We start from the raw sequence: 19,652 nt of genomic DNA on the forward strand, positions 1-19,652 counted from the left end.
GTCAGACTGGAGAGGCCACGGCCATGATTCCTAGCAGGGAATCCTGAAGAGCCACTCATTTTGTTCTTGCCAGACGTGTCCTGAATGCTGTCCCTTTCCAGACCTGGTTCTTCGGCTTTCTCTTCAATTCGGTAAGTTTCTCCACATCTTCCCAACAGAGGGAAGACCTTTTCTTCTTGTTCGTGATAACTAGAGTCAGAGTCTGTTGCTTGCAATGAAAAACCATTACAATACAAATATGGCTGAATGATAAGCTTGACCGAATGCTATTATATTTTACATACTTATATATAACGATAATATACAACATATTACAATTGATAAGCTTGGTTTAATGCTATTATAGAGAATGCACATTCTTTCCAAATCCCCATGTAACAGGAACAAAACGATATCTTTTTTTTTTTTTTTGATACGGAGTCTCACTCTGTTGCCCAGGCTGGAGTGCAGTGGTGCGATCTTGGCTCACTGCAACCTCCACCTCACGGGTTCAAGCAAGTCTCCTGCCTCAGCCTCCCGAGTAGCTGGGACTACAGGCATGCGCCACCATGCCCGGCTAATTTTTTTGTATTTTTAGTAGAGACGGGGTTTCACCACGTTGGCCACGCTGGTTTTGAACTCCTGACCTCAAGTGATCCACCTGCCTCAGCCTCCCAAAGTGCTAGGATTACAGGCATGAGCCACCATGCCAGGCCAGAAATGATATCTCTTAGGTAAGACCACACACACACCCCACATACAATCAATAAACCCCCAAAAGTAGAAATAAACAGGCCACAGTATAAGACATAATAAGACAAAAAATAGAAATGAACAACAAAAGCATATCCAATCATATTCACTTGTGAAATAAAAGCTGAAATTATACAAAATTTAGGAAAGATTAACAGGAACATTACCTCTATGACAATCTGATATAATGAACAATAAAATGATTCTCAGAGGGAATTTTATAGTCATAACGACATTCATTAGAAACCAAAAAAGACGGAGAAAAAGTGAATGAAGTAGTCAATTCAAAAAGCTAAAAAAAGACAATAGAATAGATCAGGTAAATTTTTTAAAATGTAAAATAGAAAATGAAATAAAAAATAGTAAAACCAAAAGTTGGTCTTTTTAGAAGAAAAAATATTCAAAATTATGAATGAGAAAGGGAGTATAGAATTATTTTCAAAATCATGAAAGTATGTTTTCATTATGAGTCAAGAATGCCTACTTAGGCAAGACACAAGATCAAGCACCATAAAAGGAAATATTGACATATTTGACTCTGCAAGAAAAAAAGAGTTAAAACGTTTGAGAAATAAAAGACCCCATAAACAAAAACAACAAATAAGTGAACATGCAGAAAATATTCGTTACATATATAAGGACTAAAAACTATGCTTGTAAAGAGCTACTTTAACACGAAAATCACATACACAACCAATTTTATTTATTTATTTTGAGACAGAGTCTCACTTTGTCGCCCAGGCTGGAGTGTAATGGCACAGTCGACTTACTGCAACCTCCGCCTCCTGGGTTCAAGCAATTCTCCTGCCTCAGCCTCCCGAGTAGCTGGGACTGCAGGTGCACACTACCATACCTGGCTGATTTTTGTATTTTTAGTAGAGACGGGGTTTCGCCATGTTGGCCAGGCTGGTCTCAAACTCCTGACCTCATGTGATCTGCCCACGTTGGCTTCCCAAAGTGCTGTCCCCAAATTTTTAAACACACAAAAGCTATACAAAGTTAATTCTTAGAGAAAGAACGGTCAATAAACATTTGGAAGAATGCTCAACCACAGTAGCAATCAGGAAAAGTTTAAAGCAATAAGATACCATTTCCGCCCCCATGAGATTCAGCTTAGAGACAGGGTCTTGCTCTGTCGCCCAAGCTGGAGTGCAGTGGCACAATCATAGCTCACTGCATCCTCAAGCTCCTGGACTCAAGCAATGCTTCCTCCTGCCTCAGCTACCCCCAAAACTCCCCAAAAGCTGGGATTACAGGCACATGCCACTGAGCCCAGCTAATTTTGTTTTTTTTTTTGGTTTTTTTTTTTGTTTTTTTTTTGTTTTTTGTTTTTTGTTTTTTTTTGACAGAGATGGGTGTTGGGAGGAGTCTCGTTTGTTGCCCAGGCTGGTCTCGAACTCCTGGCCTGAAGAGATCCTCTTGCTTTGGCCTCTCAAATTGTAAGGGGATCGCAGGCCTGAGCCATCACGCCCACCCTCCCCCAAATTAAAAAATGTGAACATATGCAGTGTTGAAAAGGTGAGGAAACAGGTAACTCTCCCATACAGTTGGTGGGGAATGTAGATTGATAGTATTTTTGGAGGACAAATTAGCAGTATGTATTACATTTTAAATTGTGTATACCCCTTTAAATCAGTTATTCCACTTCCAGATATTTACCCTACAGAAATACTTGAACATGTACACAGATATATATGTATGCATAAAGATGCTGATTGAAGCATTTTTGGGGATTAGTAAAAAATGGAAACTTTCAGAAATGTCAATCAGAGGCCGGGCGCGGTGGCTCACGCCTGTAATCCCAGCAGTTTGGGAGGCCGAGGTGGGCGGCTCACGAGGTCAAGAGATCGAGACCTTCCTGGCCAACATGGTGAAACGCCGTCTCCATTAAAAATATAAAAATTAGCTGGGCGTGGTGGCGGGCGCCTGTAGTCCCAGCTACTCAGGAGGCTGAGGCAGGAGAATCGCTTGAACCCGGGAGGCGGAGGCTGCAGTGAGCCGAGATCACGCCACTGCACTCCAGCCTGGGCGACAGAGCGAGACGCTGTCTCAAAAAAAAAAAAAAAAAAAAAAAAAGAAATGTCAATCAGAAAGAAAAGAAAGGATTACTAAGCAGTCATTAAAATGAATGAGTAAATCTGTAGTACATAAATCAAACAAGTTCCCAGATATATGGCAAAAAGTAAATTACTGAATGCAAATGATGTGGTACAGTGTCATTTCAGCGTGTATCACATACAGATACATGTATACATAAGCGTGGAGGCAAGTGTGACATAGAGCCTTTCATTATTTACCCCATATATTCCAGTGTTGTTTTAATTAAGACAAAATATAGGTATTCGTGGGATAATTTTTTTTTGTTTTTGAGACGAAGTTTCGCTCTTGCTGCCCAGGCTGGAGTGCAATGGCACGATCTCGGCTCACCACAACCTCCACCTCTTGGGTTCAAGCGATTCTCCTGCCTCAGCCTCCCAAGATGGGATTACAGGTGTGTGCCACCATGCCCAGCTAATTTTTGTATTTTTAGTAGAGACAGGGTTTTGCCATGCTGGCCAGGCTGGTCTTGAACTCCTGACCTCAGCTGATCCACCCACCTCGGCCTCCCAAAGTGCTAGGATTACCGGCATGAGCCACCGTGCCCGGCCTCGTGTAATAATATTTAATTAAGAAAAAGCCGGGTGCCATAGCTCATGTCTGTAATCCCAGCACTTTGGGAGGGTGAGACAGGAGGATCACTTTAGTCCAGGAGTTTGAGACCAGCCTGGGCAACAAAGTGACACACCATCCCCCACCTCCCGTCTCTACAAATAATTGTTTTTAAGAAGGATAAAGAAGAGTTTGAAAAGAGAGACATCAAACTGTTAGTTATATTTACCTTAAAAAGGAGAGAAAGAACTGAGATTTTTACTTTCCTTTCTATAACTGTTAAACAATTAAAAATGGAAATATTATATGCAATTTTGTGAAAATAAAAATTTTAAAATAGGCCAGGCGCAGTGGCTCACGCCTGTAATCCCAGCACTCTGGAAACCAGAGGCAGGCGTATCACCTGAGGTCAGGAGTTTGAGGCCAGCCTGGCCAACATAGTGAAACCCTTTCTCTACTAAAAATACAAAAATTAGCCGGGTGTGGTGGCAGGCGCCTGTAATCCCAGCTGCTACTCAGGAAGCTGAGGCAGGAGAATCACTTGAACCCGGGAGGCAGAGGTTGCAGTGAGCTGAGATTGCGCCACTGCACTCCAGCCTGAGCGACAAAGTGAGACTCTGTCTCAAAAAAAATAAAAAATAAAAAATAAATCATCCTTATGAAAATACTTTTCAAAGACAAATGAAATAGACCCCAACAATGTCTACTCTAGCAAATTTTCAAAGTCATAATAAAAATAAAATAGGATGACTCGGTGGTGTTTTAGCTGGTACTTTTCCAGTTTTCCTTTTACAACATAATCAACAATGACTTCAAAAGGATTTCCCCCTCCTTCATGGAATATTACTACCTTCAACACGGCCTTTCAGATCCGGAGTTCAAAGCATAGTTAGCATTATAATTTCAGCAGAGAATCCAGAATTGGCAGGATATCACCAGTAGGGTGACTTTTTTTCTTTTCCCTAGCAAACAGTAGAGCAGTATGTAGTTTCTCCCCCCGCCCAGACGGAGTTTCGCTCTTTCTCCCAGGCTGGAGTACAGTGGCACGATCTCGGCTCCCTGCAACCTCCGCCTTCCGTTTTCAAGCTATTCTCCTTCCTCAGGCTGCCGAGTAGCTGGGATTACAGGCGCCCCCCACCACGCCAGGCTAATTTTTGTATTTTTAGTAGAGGCGAGGTTTCACCAAGTTGACCAGGCTGGTCCCGAACTCCTGACCTCGTGATCCGCCCGCCTCAGCCCCCAAAGTGTTGGGATTACAGGCGTGAGCCTCCGCGCCCGGCACAGTATGTAGTTTCTAACTACAATTTCAAAAACAAAAACAAAAAAACCCCCCCCGCCCCCGCAAAAAAAAACCTCAAAAAAAAAAATGTGACACATAAATACACAACCTTAACTGTGTATTTTACTGGGATTGTAGAAAGGTATCAAATGGGCATGCAAGTAAGGTCCTTACGGAGTAAGAAAACGCCCAATGAACAGTACTTAATATGAATTCGACATCGTTAACACTGAGCGCTTGCTGTGTGCCAGCGCGCAGCATAATTCGAAGCAGCATGACTTTGCACAATGACATATTCTACAAGTCCAGTTTCCTAAGGAGTGCCCTTAGGTTACATATAACCTAAACGTGAAATGTAGAAGTACATAAAGGAGGCATAAAGTTAAAGGGGAAAAATTATAAATACTAGAAAAAATTGCATTGTATTATTTTGATGGCTGAAAAATGGGCTCGACCCTGCATGCACGCGTTCTCCATTGAGCTCGACAATATGCAGTATTTTGTTTCACGTTATGTCGCAGTCTTAGGGAGGAGTGAAACGTGGAACACGACTTCACATCAAAAATGCACGTTGCAGAGGCATTTTTCCTTCGGGGACGCCGGAAGACTTCGCCACACGCGCGCCCTCTCCGCGGACACCAACGTGCTGACGCATGTTCATTAGCGAGCTGCTCCCTCCATTTTGTCCCCAGTCTCCTTTAGGCGAACTGCGCGGTTCTATGTTAAAGCCACTTAGTAATGAAACTATAAAAGGGAGGAAGTGGGGTGGGCGTGGGAGCCCCGTTTGCGCAAGGCAGGCGCGGGGGACTAAATGGCTGCTGGTGCAGAGTGGGGCTGCCCCGGCACCAAGGGCTCGTCCCGTGGCCGGAAGGACAAAGGACACTTAGGGGACGAGGGCCGCCGAGCCAGCGCGGAGCGCCTTCCGGGTCGGTGGGCTGGGGCGGGCTGGGGGCTGGGGCCGGGCCGACCCCCGCGGTGGGGCCCACCCCGCAGGACAAAGCAGCGGCCCCGCCCCTCGGCGCGCGCCCGAGGCTCGTGCGTGTGAGCACGCGCGCCGGAGACGGTTAGAAATGGCGGTTGGGGCGGAGCAGGGGGCTGGCGCGGGAAGCGGGGCTGTCTGGCTCGGTTACGCCCCCACCTCGCCAGGAATCTAGGAGTCGGTTTGTTTTCCGAACCCATCTCCTTCCGCTCTCCCGCCCCTGCAGGCTGTGTGCCGAGCTTGGAAGAAAGTGTGACCCGTTCGACGGAACAAAGGACATGACAGCCCGGCCCCGTGCGGCCACTGCGGAGCGTTAGGAACATTCCCTAAAATGGCGGCCGGCGCGTCGGAACAGGGCGGGAGGCGGCGGCGCGTGGGGGCGGGACGGGGAGGGGCGCGGCCAGCCGGGCTTCTGCTTCCGCGACCCCGGCGGTGCAGGGCGGGTGGAGTCGCGGAGTAGTCCTCATGGCCGCCCCGCCGGAGCCCGGTGAGCCCGAGGAGAGGAAGGTAACCTGGGGGTCGGCGGGGCGCGCGCCGCGGGTGGGCGGTGGGTAAGGACGTTCTCCGCGGAGCTCCTAGGCCCGGAGCACGTGTCACTGGCTTCTCTGCCACCCATGGGCTTGAAACTATTTTAACTGTTCCTAGTCCTTATCCCAAGCCTCCAACATTTTAATCTAAGTGGCCGGGACAAAATTGACCAAAACTAGGGGGAGGAGGGGACCAGTAGTACTAATGACTTACTACAGGTCATTATGAAATAAGCTAACAATACTGAATCTTTGGCGAGAAAATTTTGCTGCTAAGGGCACTGCACTGTAATTTGTTAGTAAAGGCTAATAGTAGAGATTAAAGCTCCGTTGAGGACAGGTGCCTTGTCTTTAACACGTTGTATTCATCACATTTAACATAGGAGTAATTGCTGAGGGATGACTTGATTGTACTACGATGAGATGAAGGGTTAAGATTTCTTCCCCATCACCAGTAGCCTCCCTAGCTGGTGTCCCTGTCTCCATACTCTCCTGAATCCACCTTCCACTATTGTCCGCTGGCCCTTTCCAGCCTGTAAACTGGACAGTTTTCATTCCTCTGCCTAACATCCAGTCGTAGCAGCCCATCCTATCTCTTTAAGGATAAAACCCAAATTCTTGGTATAGTAAAGCTAAACCAAGCGCTCTCCCTGGAAGGGCTCCTGTGTTTCACCAAAGCTGACTTACGTACTTTCCCCATCTTCCCAGGCATCTTGTACGTCGTTACATTTATCATATTGGAAGGTAATAAATGATCTTGTTTTCCTCTTTTCCTGGGCTCCTTATTAAGAGCAGGGAACCTAATTTATATCCTCAGGGCAGAACAGGTATTCAGAAAAGAATAATGCAAGAGGAAAAAAGTTTAATATAAACTAGGGAGATCGTAACATTGGCTAATCACGAGCAAATATTTATAGAAGACCCACTGTGTGCTAAATGGCTCCTAATATATACTTAAGATATTCTCCCAGCTTGGAAATTCTGCTCACTTCTTGCTCTTGCTTGCTTCTCTGGTGGGCTTCCATCCAAATTTGGCCATGACATCAGATCATATGGTTAATATTAACAAATATTGTATAAATTGTTTTCATACTTAATATCCAACAGGTTGTCAGTTTACGTACTACTGGTGCCTTATCTGTTTTTACTGTCCCATACACTGCCCATCTGGAATAAGCTTAGTGTTTAAAAAAAAAAAAAGATCTTTGCATACACACAGTAAATCCTAGATTCAGTTTTGTGATAAACACTGGAATCCTGAATGGGACTTTTGGTAGGAGATAACTGCTGTTTTTAAAGGTCATAAAGGTGGTTTAATCCATTGGAAATTAAAAAAAAAAAACTTAAAAGAGGATCAACATTGACCTATTTAACTGGCCCATCAGTAAGTAGCAAAACAATACTGTAGTTGTTGAAATGAAGATAGTTATAAGCCTCAAACCGAGCACAGTCAGAGGTGGGAGGCCAAAAAAACAAAAATTGCTCATGAAACAGTAGTACCTATCAGAGCCCATCAAAAAGCTAATTAAATTAATAGAAGCTATGATGAATTAACAGCCCAAGGTGCTGTCAGAAAGGAAGCCTGCGGTTATTTTTTTTAAAAGAATTTGTCAGTGATCATTCCAGCACAACCCAGGGAGGATTATTTTATTATAAGAATTAGCAAACCTAAAGTAAAAATGGGAGTTACCAAGCTGGCATACCTTGATAGAACTAGCCCCTAAAAACTGTCCTCTGCCACATTCTTGTCCTTTAAGAAACTTTAAAATGTGAAATTTGGTACATACAGGTAAATTCACATTCAGGTAAATTCTTAATTCACCCATTCAAAAAATATTTAGAGTACCTACTGAGTATTAGACACTGAACGAGGTACTAGACTGATCAAGACAGGAAAAATCCCTTTAAGGAGCTGACATTCTACTGGAGGAATCAATAAGCAAGACTTCTACTGAGCCAGTCATGCAAAGATCCAGGAGAAAGGCAGCATGTGTTCGTTCGGTAATAACCATCTCGGCTTGTTAGAATGGCAAGGCCACTGTACCTGGACTAGTGGACAAGAGTAGGATATGAAAGAGCATGGGATCATGTAGGGCCTTTGGAGCAATGGTAAGGATTCTGAGCATAATCGGAGGCTACAGAGGACTTATTATAGTCATCTGATACACATTTTTATGAGTAGAATCAAGATCTGAAAGGTACTGTTGATAGATGGTAATTTGATAGGACAGGTTGAGCTTCCCAATTCAAAAAAAAAATTGTCTTTTGATGTATCAGTTTCAGATTTGGGATGCTCAACCTGTATTAGCAATGAAGTTGGTGGGCAGTGGTCTGGCTCAGGATGTATTTAGAATGTGGATCCTTCCAGACTTGCTAATATATTTGATGTGGATTTGATGAAGGAATCAAGGATGACTCTTAGTTTTTGGGTCTGAAAATTGGTTGAGTAGTGTGCCATTAAGAGGAAGGTTTGGAGGTGAAAATATATTTTGCAAATACGAGGTTCAAGGTGCTTTTTATACATAAAAGTGTCATTCATTAAGCAGATGAATGAGGCTGAAGCTTGGGAGAGATTAGGGTTTGATTTAGAAATCTGGAGTCATCATATAATGGCATTTAATTGAAAGCCTTGGGATACCTAGGAAGAGACTAGATTCCAAAGGAGTTAAGAGTGGCACTTCAGAATCAGGTCTGTAGAGGAGGGAACAGCAACAAAAATGTCAATGAAATAGAAAACCAGGAGACGTATTTGAAGCCAAGTAAAAGTAAAAAAGTTTCAAAAACAAATGATAATTTGTGCCACATATGCTGAGATGCGGATTTAGACTGCAGTGGATGTCTTTTAGAGGTCTTGACTGGTGTCAAGTGAAGTTCAGTGGATAGATGCCTCACTCAAGTGAGTTAAAGGGAGAATGGGAGGTTTTAAGTAGAAAAGCACACCTACACTCAGAAGTTTTGCCCCAAAAGGATGGTGGTTTAGGTGGCTGATGAGAGGAGAGGGGTGTATAGAGGATTTTTGGGTTTTTTTTTTGAGATGGAGTCTTCTTGCTCTGTTGCCCAGGCTGGAGTGCAGTGGTGCCATCTTGGCTCACTGCAACCTCCGCCTCCTGGGCTCAAGCGATTCTGCCTCAGCCTCCCGAGTAGCTGGGATTACAGGCATGTGCTACCATTCCTGGCTAATTTTTGTACTTTTAGTAGAGACAGGGTTTTGCCATGTTGGCCAGGCTGGTCTCGAACTTCCGACCTCAAGTGATCCACCCACTTTGGCCTCCCAAAGTGCTGGGATGACGGGTGAGCCACTGCACCTGGCCAAGAGGGCTGATAGTAAATTATTGCAAGTGAAAAAACTAACGATGCAAATGAAAGGGGTAGCTATAGAAGCCAAGCCCTTGAGTATGCAAGAGGGGAATCAAGTGCCCAAGTGGGAAGACTAGCATTAGATAGGAATAGGGCCAATTCATCCTTTGCAACCAGAGGAAAGAAATACGGGCACTGAAGCAGATTTAGTGGTGGAAAATCAACTGTCTCTAATTTGATCAGATCTATTTCTATACATTATTGACATTCTGGCTTGGAAATCTCTTGAGCTTTCCTTAGATTGATCAGGGTGAGCTGGTAAAGCTGCTTTTCTAAATCTAAGCTTAAAAAATGTCTGACATTTCCTTAATTTATTTTTAAGGGTTCCCGTTTGTTAGTGGCAAAGAGTTAAATCTTAAGTATGCAGGCTACTTAAGGAATAGAAGAGAAATGTTAAAGGCATGTATATTATGAACAGAATATTTCCGTATATAAATAGAATACTTCAAAGGGAGTTATGCCCGGGATCCTTTATTCATCTCCACTTCTGAGCATTTTACAGTTCAGTGTACTTAACTGTAAAGGTATACAGGCTCAAGTCGTTGCATATTCTTCCTGTTTTGATAGAAATTGCAGGGATTTATGTACTGAATCTTATTACTCCTTAGATATGTGACAACTGGAAAGCTCCCCACCAAACCCTCCAGCCTTGGTTACTTCTTAATGATGTGGTTTGGCACAATGAAAATGTCATAGGCTTTGTGGTGAAACTGACTTCTGCCTCCACTCCTGCCAACACTTATTATTAGCCTCTTAAGTCCCCGAGCCTGTTTCAGAGGTAATCTCACACAAAGGCTAGAGAATTAAAAAACATGTAGAGAGCCTGGCACTAATACCTACCTCCCCCACCAGCAGCTCTTAATTATGAGATCAACCACTATTATTTTAGACCAGAGTTTTGTTGGGGATTGGGTTTGTTTCAGAAGGCACTATTTTAAATAAGATGTGTAGCTTCTATTTAGATATTTGCCTTTAAAGTCAGCTGAGCTATTTTCCTATTGTTTGCAAATTTACTTTTATTTAAAAAAATAAAATTTCCTAAAGCAGTGTTTCCCCAATATGACAGTCATCAGAAAAAACCACCTAGAGTTTTCTAAACATAGATTCCAGTGATTGTAAATCAGAATCTGAGAGTGGGACTAGAAAATACTTAATTCTATCCTGTGGTACAAGCTGGTCTCACACTTGCATCTTTGCACCTAAGACTAGATCAAACTGGTACTAATCCTCTGGCCCCAGCATCCCATCCTTGGGGAAATAGTCTAGTTTAGAGGTAGTCCTGGACTGGAGCGCTAAGTCCAGCATTCCTCACCTGCATAACACTACCCACATGATCATATGTCCCCTGGGCTCTCAAGCTGATAGGAAAAAGTCGTCTTGCTAAATGAAATCCCCCAACCTCTTGGTAATGTGAAGAACTGTACTGCAAAGCTTTGAAGCAATCCTATGTTAGGCATGCGGGTGGGAACGGGGCCAGACAGAGGGAAAAAATGGAATAGAATGATCCGAGAGTAAATAATTCTTGCTTTATTATGAACCAAGTCACATTTTGTCTCTTCCAACAGATGCTTGAGCCAAAAAAGCAAACATAGGCAGAAATACAATTGAGAATATCTTCATGTTTCAACCTTTAATCTGACTTGCCTTTTACTATCCTTTCCCCATTTCTTCTAATCTCTTTTGCCTTACAATATATTACCTTCTAGGTATCACCTCATCCTATAGAATCCCTTCTAGTTTAATGTCCTGCCCCAAACAATACTAACCCATTGAAGATAACTATGAAACCTTTAAATGGACAGTGGTTCCTTTTAAAAGCAGCCTTACTGAAAATTTTATATACACTTAAATCAAGTAACAGTTACCGTGAGTTTTCTAAACTTTTGTGTTAACAGAAATGCCAGTTCAGCAGTGTGACTGTTACTTTTAAATGTCTGTCTTGCCGCCCTAGAGTGACAGACATCCCAGTTAAACATATTAGGAATAAGAAATACATAAATCCAATGAAGACTGTAGAAAAAGAATTTTAGCACTTGAAGGAACTTCAGTCATTTAACCCAACCCATTCATGTTATAGATTGAGACCATAGAAATAAAAGTAGCCTATAGGATACAAAAGTTAGCGGCAGATCTGAGATAAAAATCCAGCTCTTTGGATCCCCGCGTTTTTCACCACACTTAGCTGTCGTTCCCATGTATTACGAACAAAGAATCAAATATAATCAAGTGCAGCCTCACTTCACAGGCAAGAAAACAGACTAGAGTTTAATATATTGCCCATGTTTATCTTAAGGTGAAACATTTACTCTTACAACCACAGTTGATGTTAACCTAGTTAATAAAATATGAAAGGTAATTACTAGGGGAATTTTAAACGGCACTACATAAGCAAACATGACTCAAATTACTTTTTCCATTTCTGCTTCCCAAATTATTGGAGTTACTGAAGCAAGCTATGCTGCTTTCAATTCCAATGATAGGCATATTCCCAAATAAACTCATTTAAAGAGCTCATAAAATGAATTATCCTATTTCCAAGTCAGTTGATTAGCAAATTAAGATACAGCTCCAAGTTACCCTACTGCTTAAGGGTTTTCCGGTCCAATTTGTAAGGTTTTCGGATTTAAAGATTCAGACTGCATACCAAAGGTGGACAAAGACAACGCAAGCTGATTTAGGTTGTCACGTGGCACATACTCTAGTTTAAACCCTCAACTACAAGAAAAGAAATGGTGTATTGTCATTTTTGCCAAAGCACCCCAAAATGAAATACTTTCTTACTCAATCTAGGTTCTTTTTTTTCATTCTAGTCCCTTAAGCTCCTAGGATTTTTAGATGTTGAAAATACTCCCTGCGCCCGGCATTCAATATTGTATGGTTCATTAGGATCTGTTGTGGCTGGCTTTGGACATTTTTTGTTCACTAGTGAGTATCTGTATTTTTTATTTCTCTATGTACTAAAAAAAGCATTTCTCTACATAATGAACTATTTTTTTTTCTAGGTGGAGTAATGTATATAACGTAATTATATTCTAATTAATTGTTATGCTTATTTTTACAGGTAGAATTAGAAGATCATGTGATGTTGGAGTAGGAGGGTTTATCTTGGTGACTTTGGGATGCTGGTATGTTTGCTAAGTATTCAAGAACATCCATGATTATAGTAGGTTATCTAATTCAAAAAGCACATGCTCTTTTCAGAGCAGTCTCCCATTGGGAGATCCTCACCCTCAATGAAGAATCTTGATTTTTCAGGACATTTTCATGGAAATCTTAAAATGCTTGAACAGATAAATGCATATTAGACATCCCATTAAAAAGAAAGCTGTGGTTTTTACACTTCACTTAGGAAAGCCTCAACCATTTCCCTTACCCTAATACTTATTTCATCCCTGCTTATTCATATCTGAAAATGCTACTTTAAGAATGTGTTTACAACTACTGATGAGTGAATATAAAATATGGATGAACCTCAAATATTTGCCAGACCTAAGAGTATGATATGTATGTACTATATGGTTCCATTTATACATGAATTTCTACAGTGAGCTATTTAAGGTGGTAGAAATCATTTTATGTAGACATAGCATTATTATCCCGTTAAAAACGAGAGCAAATACTTGTTTCTTATAATAGCCAATGCTATCAGAAGACTTAAAAACTAATGGATTTTATCACTTTACAAATTGTTATGTAGACATCCTTTTTTTCCTAATAAAAAAAGAATGTGTTGATAGGTATTCTGACACCAAAACTGCCCAAAAATAGCACTATAAATTAGAACATATTTTTCAGTCTCAGGGTAGTAGTCATCTGTATTTAAGTTTTGTGTGATTTAGAGAAATTTCATAAATTAATTTCTGTAGGACTTTATATTAACAATTTATTCATATTCTTTTCTTCTAAGGTTTCATTGTAGGTATAATTATGCAAAGCAAAGAATCCAGGAAAGAATTGCCAGAGAAGAAATTAAAAAGAAGATATTATATGAAGGTACCCACCTCGATCCTGAAAGAAAACACAACGGCAGCAGCAGCAATTGAACAATCTTGAGCATAGAAGTCAATGTAAACGAAGTTAAGATCAACCACATAAAACATTTCATGTGCAATAAGCTCTCAATCAAGTAAATAAAGTTTAAGTTGTAGTCATTTTTTTCCCACACTTGTGTGGAATGAAAACTTGCCAGTTTATTCTGGCCCTGTGTCTACTGCCAGGATAGCATTCTTACGTGTTACATATAGTGGACTTGTCATCCTTAAAATGTGAACAGAATTTATTGGCAGTGTGGCAAAGAATTATAAAACATAGTGTTTAATGTACTTGGAGTTTCCTTGTAGTAGTAAGTATAGAGTTTGATGATAAGTAAACGTCCCTTAACAAAAACCTCAACCTTATTACTATCCCATTAAAAAACAGCAAATACTTACTGAGTTCTTGTAAGAGCTAATGTCATTGTAAGATTTAAAACTAAGGGCTTTTATCACTTTGCAAATTATTTTTTAAATGCATTCATCATTTGACAGTGTTCTCTCATTTCTTAAAATGCGAGTCATCTTCCAAAAGAGTTGTTTTTAACTGCCCTAAACATTTTTGGGGAAGTATGCAGGGTTTAAATTTTTAAGTATAATTAGTTCTGAATTAAAATATGCACATGGAACTTGTCTGGCAGACTGATGCAATAGTAAAACAACTGCAGAATTACTATTAATGTAAACAATCCATTTGAAAGTCAATCAGCTGCTCCCATTAAAATATTATTTAAAATACAATACCCACAGCATCTAACTAAATCCTCAGGATTTATTCTCCGGGAGAAATTATCCCTTTCTAGGAAAATGAAGTTATTTCTGGTTTTAATTCATACAATACTTTAAGAAAATCTGTTAAATATAACAAAACACAAGCTAGATGCTTAAGAAATGCTTAAAGAAATATTGGGGCGAAGGTAACAGCAGTCAACAGGATTGTGGCCATTACTGGTCCTATTATTTTGATGTACCATGGAAGGCACAGAAATCGAGCAAGGAAGAAAATATTAGTTATTTTGATCTACATCTTTTTCTAAAGAAAAGTGGAGCTTGCCTCCAGTTCAATTCACAAGAGCATTTTCCCTCCCATGCCCACCTTTTCTTGTGGCTGTCGCTAGGAAGGATGCAGAGGCTGTGTGGTTTACCAAATGCCTTAACTTAGCAGTGAATGACAACTGTCAAACACATGTTGAGGGAAAATTTTTACTGATTCACAAAAAGGAAGACAGTTTGCCCACTCTTAGTGGCACAAATCAAAGCTGCATGCACTACATTATCCAAATTAGTCGTAACCAAATAGTTAAAAAATTCTGCTGGGCACGGTGGCTCATACCTGTAATCCCAGCACTTTGGGAGGCCGAGGCAGTTGGATCACCTGAGGTTAGGAGTTTGAGACCAGCCTGGCCAACAGGGTGAAACCCTGTCTCGTCTAAAAATACAAAAATTAGCCGGGCGTGGTGGTGCATGCCTGTAGTCCCAGGTACTCAGGAGGCTGAGGCAGGAGAATCACTTGAACCCGAGGTGGGGCAGGCGGAGGTTGCAGTAAGCCAAGATCGCGCCATTGCACTCTAGCCTAGGTGACAGAGTGAGACTCCATCTCAAAAAAAAAAAAAAATTCCATAGGATGTTCAACCATGTTTTCAGAGGCCGCACTGCATGAATGCGGGAAAATGTTGATGATCACTAATCAATAATCTGATATTTAACAAAATATGGACAGGCCACTTATGCTCAGTTTTACCTTAGTTATTCCTTGGTATCCACAGGCCCAAGTCCCTTTAAATAAAATACCCTCATATTTCCATATAATCTACATACATTCTCCCATATACTTTAAATCATCTCTAGATTACTTATAATGTCTAATACAAAATAAATGCTATGTAAATGTAATTATTATACTGTGTATTTTTGTTGTTGTTCTTCATTGTTATTTTTTGTCTTTTTACCTCCAGTATTTTCAACCCACAGTTGGTTGAATCCAAGGATGCAGAACTGGAGGACATGGAGGGCTGACGTGTAACATACATAACATATAAAACAGGTCCCTTCCAGCGCTAGCACACTGCAATTACATCTTACCCTGAATAAGAGAGAAACTCTGTTTTGGCTGGTAAAATTTCCAATGTCTTCACCAATAACAAAGCTCATTTTCACAGAAGTTTGCATAAACTGGAAACCTGGATAAAAACAAAGTTGTAACATATTTGGTTGGATTATTTTTTAAATGTTTCATGTATTTACATGATCACTAATAATTTTTATTCTTATGCTATTAAGATTTTACAAGTGTATTAATAAATTACCAAAGTCTGTAACACCCACCCTCAATAAGGAGAGACTGGTAGAACGAAAGTCTCTCCTATCAATGTCTACCCTACCATCCAACTTCACGTCCAAACTATTTAGTTTTTTGCCAAACCTTCAATGCACTATGACCTTTTTTTTTTCTCTCTTGAGATGGAGTTTCACTCTCGTCGCCCAGGCTGGAGTACAATGGCGTGATCTCGGCTCACTGTAACCTCCACCTCCCAGGTTCAAGCGATTCTCCTGCCTCAGCCCCCCAAGTAGCTGGGATTGCAGGTGCGTGCCACCACGTCTGGCTAATTTTTGTATTTTTAGTAGAGAGGGTTTCACCATGTTGGCCAGGCTGGTCTCGAACTCCTGACCTCAGGTGATCCGCCTGCCTCGGCCTCCCAAAGTGCTGGGATTACAGGCGTGAGCCACCATGCCCAGTGCACTATGACCTTTATACCATATCCATGCTGCCACTCCCAACTTTTTCATTTCATTTGGAATGCCTTTTTTACCTCCTCTCTGTAACTTTCCATTCTTTTGCTCACTAGCTTCTGGGAATTACAATCACCTTTTCATTTAAGTTCTCACTATTTTGTGTCTTATAATAGTTGGTGCTTTTCTTGGTCACCAGTATTTGGTACAATCACATACAGCCTAAGTTTCTCATTGGCAAAAACCTTGGCCATTTTTATCTTTACATTCTCATCCAAGTATCTGGCACAAGATAGTCAATAAATGCTAGACAAAAAGAAACAGTCCAGGTTCCTGGCCAGGTGCGGTGGCTCACGCCTGTAATCCCAGCACTTTGGGAGGCCAAGGCAGGCAGATCACACGGTTAGAAGTTCGAGACCAGCCTGGCCAACCATGGTGAAACCCCGCCTGTACTAAAAAAAAAAAAATACAAAAATTAGCCTGGCATGGTGGTGTGCAACTGTAATCCCAGCTACTCAGGAGGCTGAAGCAGGAGAATTGCTTGAACCCGAGAGGTGGAGGTTGCAGTGAGCCAAGATCACGTCACTACACTCCAGCCTTGGCGACAGAGCCAGACTCGTCTCAAAAAAAAATAAAAATAGTCCAGGTTCCCCTTCCCCTCTATCCAGACTTTCACACTTTACAATTTCAAACTTTAAGAGTAACCTACCTTCCATGACCACCTGGAACCTCCAGTGTACAGCTTCCTTCATTGTTCCATTAATTCCGAAATGTCACACTAGGTGATATAGCAGTAGGTACCAGCTAAATAGCTGATTAAAATAGAATTATGGTTATTAGTAGTCTTAAAAACTTCTTGTGGCTTATCTATCATACCTACTTTTAAAAAATCTTTAAGTGCTTTATGCACTTTCCCCTTCCCTCACCCCTCCCTCTTTGGTTTTCCTTGACTGTTTGTGCTTTTCCATCTCAGTAAAAGGACCTCGGGGAATTTAAAATTAACTAGCTCTTCTCTGGACTTGTGATTATATTGTCTGAGTTTGGCAACAAGAAAATGTGACTATCCCTAGGTACCATCATTTGCAAGCATCTCTTTAGTCTACGTACCTCTACTCCATCGCTGGTTTCCCTTTGCTTCGATTATATAATGCGAGGAGGTCTATATAATAAATTCAGGATTCCTGTTTATGCACTTTTCAGCAAAGAGCTAGGGATCAAATAGGGTTTCAATCCTTCTATTCATAGATAAAAATCTGTGATGGGGATCAAGATACCCCTTTAAAAGTCATGTTAAGATATACACTATTCTTTGGGTAAGCAGAAGACCTTAACAAGGAAAGTAGAAAAATTAAAATGATTGCTGTAATTCTGATTTTTAGTGGTCCTCTAGAATAAAATAAGTTTTGGAAGTAGGTATCTTAAAATAGTCCAGTAGTCATCAACCCAGGTCAATATAATATACCAATATCCTCCACCACCCAAATACTGGTATTTTACACAACTTATTTTGCACATTAAGTTCCATTTTAAAATGTTTTAAAATGTTTTCTTAAAAAGGAAGCTGTTAGAACAAAAAAATTATGAAGATGGTTTTCAAAGTATTACATTTAAAGTTCATAATGTGAGCACTACAGATGTTTTACAAATATTTTTCAGTGCTTTCAACCGTTGCATTTGCCGTACGCTTCCATGTTCTAGAATAAGGACATTTTTATGTTGAGAAGGCTACACTGATTACATTAATAGGCAAATACTAATTCTGAGAGAGGTTTCTATTGTTCACTTTAGAAAAATGTAGGTCAATGTAATGGGTGATATCTGTTCTTAATTATTCTAAGAATTAAATCCTGTATGTTATCAGTCACCTATTATATGGCACACCCTCAGGGGGTATCAATCATTCTTTGCATATACTGGTTTCTTAAAGGGTAAGTTTCCATAGAAATGTTTCTTCATTTGACTTCTACCCTGAAGTCATGTGAAATAAAACATATATGCCTTACCATCTAAATTCAAAGCTTATTTTTGAAATGAATGTTTCCTTTTCTGTAATTTTATGATTTTTCTCAAATGAACAGAAATGGTAATGAAACCACAAGTTGCCTACTCTTTCGAAACCATTAAATTGCTTTATTTGTGAGTAGACCCATATTTCATTAAGCAAACTCTGATAGCTACGTCTAGAATCAGAAGAGCCCAAGCCCTCTCATTTCACCGAAAGACATTCTGGAGCGTATAGTGGGGAAAATAAATTTCCTCTGAAGTCTTTTTCAGGGAAATGGAAAATTACATATTCTGGACTGATACAACCAAAACTCACACAAGCTCTCCCATTCCTTCAGTCTTGAATTTACTTCCTAGTTGATTTTATATACTTCAATATATGAACTAATCACTTCATTATCCAAAAGGATGTCAAGCTATTTTCCAAATTTTCATAAGCTAGTAAAAATATGTATTTCTGAATTTAGTAGAAATGAAAAAGATTTTGGGCAACCAAGGACAGAAAGGTCTCCTATGCACTGTTTTACATTAGAACATTGTAAGGAAGTACTTACACTCTACCAAGTAGGGTGGATATCAAAACAAATGTATTGCCAAAAGTTAAAAGATGAAATCAGAAAAATGATCTAACTTTGAAAAGACTCAGGTCTATTTTCACATACACCTGTAAACCTAAGCAAGAGGACTGCCAATTGCTAAGAGCACACAGAATACACACTTCACCTCAGATATGCAAGAGAAAACACCCTTTTTTTTCTGTTACAGAGACTCTGTCCATCTGATTACCAATTACTCTCTTCCCCCATCTTTTAAAAAGAGTCCTATTTAAAGTGATTCTGGAAGCCTAACATAACTATTAAATGTACAAGCAGCAATTAATTTGGAATACCTATTGGAATCACTGGAACATTTAGTTGGGCCCTTTAACTCTTCCACACAGCACATTCACATGGACAGACTAAGGAAAAGGAGATGAAATGTAAATCAACACATTTGTTTGCTTTACTTTTCAAGAAAAAAAAAAAAAGTTATGTTGGAATCTTTTTTTCTTGTACGTGACCATGACTCTCCCAATCTTTAACTACAAACAACTGATACAGGATACAAGCTGCCTCAAAAAATTCCTTTGTTAGTTGACATTTAAATAAGCCCCAATAACTCTTTAGGTATCTCTATATATGCTTTAACTTTTATAGCATTAATGTCACACTTATAAACTGGTGTCTGTACTAGCCACGTCTATTCTTGGTGTTTTAAAATTTTTAAAAATGTCTTGGCTGTCACCAATTTGTGGCAATGCTTTAAGTGTTTGCAACGTATATTTTACCAGACATAACTTATTTTACTTCCTGTAAGGTTCAGAA

At 40.4% G+C, this 19,652-nt stretch overlaps 1 protein-coding gene across 8 annotated transcripts, besides 6 other annotated features; it reads left to right on the forward strand.

Annotated features, from left to right (window-relative positions):
• Positions 3,959 to 4,718: an enhancer, noted in NCBI's record as "H3K27ac-H3K4me1 hESC enhancer chr1:244996871-244997630 (GRCh37/hg19 assembly coordinates)". NCBI's record gives its function as "activates a minimal SCP1, AML or CMV promoter by ChIP-STARR-seq in primed H9 embryonic stem cells {active_cell/tissue: H9 hESC(primed)}" and the evidence as "EXISTENCE:reporter gene assay evidence [ECO:0000049][PMID:30033119]".
• Positions 5,222 to 5,281: an enhancer, noted in NCBI's record as "active region_2845". NCBI's record gives its function as "activates an Ori minimal core promoter by ATAC-STARR-seq in GM12878 lymphoblastoid cells {active_cell/tissue: GM12878}" and the evidence as "EXISTENCE:reporter gene assay evidence [ECO:0000049][PMID:35858748]".
• Positions 5,442 to 5,781: a silencer, noted in NCBI's record as "silent region_2017". NCBI's record gives its function as "represses an Ori minimal core promoter by ATAC-STARR-seq in GM12878 lymphoblastoid cells {active_cell/tissue: GM12878}" and the evidence as "EXISTENCE:reporter gene assay evidence [ECO:0000049][PMID:35858748]".
• On the forward strand, positions 5,696 to 15,453 carry COX20 (cytochrome c oxidase assembly factor COX20). 8 transcript variants are annotated; one of them, NM_001312871.1, is made up of 5 exons: positions 5,696 to 5,723; positions 5,866 to 6,146; positions 12,334 to 12,448; positions 12,585 to 12,648; positions 13,431 to 15,453. In NM_001312871.1, exons 2-5 carry the CDS (start codon positions 6,105 to 6,107, stop codon positions 13,564 to 13,566), a joined length of 357 nt encoding a protein of 118 aa, NP_001299800.1. In that variant the 5' UTR covers positions 5,696 to 5,723; positions 5,866 to 6,104; the 3' UTR covers positions 13,567 to 15,453. The 8 variants fall into 8 exon arrangements, 5 of the variants coding, with proteins under 5 accessions (NP_001299800.1, NP_001299801.1, NP_001299803.1 ...); NM_001312872.1 differs by lacking the exon at positions 5,696 to 5,723 and adding an exon at positions 6,875 to 6,910; NR_132420.1 differs by lacking the exon at positions 5,696 to 5,723 and having other exon boundaries at positions 5,866 to 6,126.
• Positions 5,822 to 5,941: an enhancer, noted in NCBI's record as "active region_2846". NCBI's record gives its function as "activates an Ori minimal core promoter by ATAC-STARR-seq in GM12878 lymphoblastoid cells {active_cell/tissue: GM12878}" and the evidence as "EXISTENCE:reporter gene assay evidence [ECO:0000049][PMID:35858748]".
• Positions 6,022 to 6,071: a silencer, noted in NCBI's record as "silent region_2018". NCBI's record gives its function as "represses an Ori minimal core promoter by ATAC-STARR-seq in GM12878 lymphoblastoid cells {active_cell/tissue: GM12878}" and the evidence as "EXISTENCE:reporter gene assay evidence [ECO:0000049][PMID:35858748]".
• Positions 6,112 to 6,401: a silencer, noted in NCBI's record as "silent region_2019". NCBI's record gives its function as "represses an Ori minimal core promoter by ATAC-STARR-seq in GM12878 lymphoblastoid cells {active_cell/tissue: GM12878}" and the evidence as "EXISTENCE:reporter gene assay evidence [ECO:0000049][PMID:35858748]".

Source organism: Homo sapiens, chromosome 1, assembly GCF_000001405.40.
Source record: "Homo sapiens chromosome 1, GRCh38.p14 Primary Assembly".
Lineage (NCBI taxonomy): Eukaryota > Metazoa > Chordata > Mammalia > Primates > Hominidae > Homo > Homo sapiens.

Coding starts and splice junctions, on each gene's coding strand:
- COX20 (NM_001312872.1), top strand. CDS start 6,105: ATGGCCGCCCCGCCGGAGCCCGGTGAGCCCGAGGAGAGGAAG. Junction 6,147..6,874: donor GTGAGCCCGAGGAGAGGAAG/GTAACCTGGGGG, acceptor CCATCTTCCCAG/GCATCTTGTACGTCGTTACA. Junction 12,449..12,584: donor TGGACATTTTTTGTTCACTA/GTGAGTATCTGT, acceptor TTATTTTTACAG/GTAGAATTAGAAGATCATGT.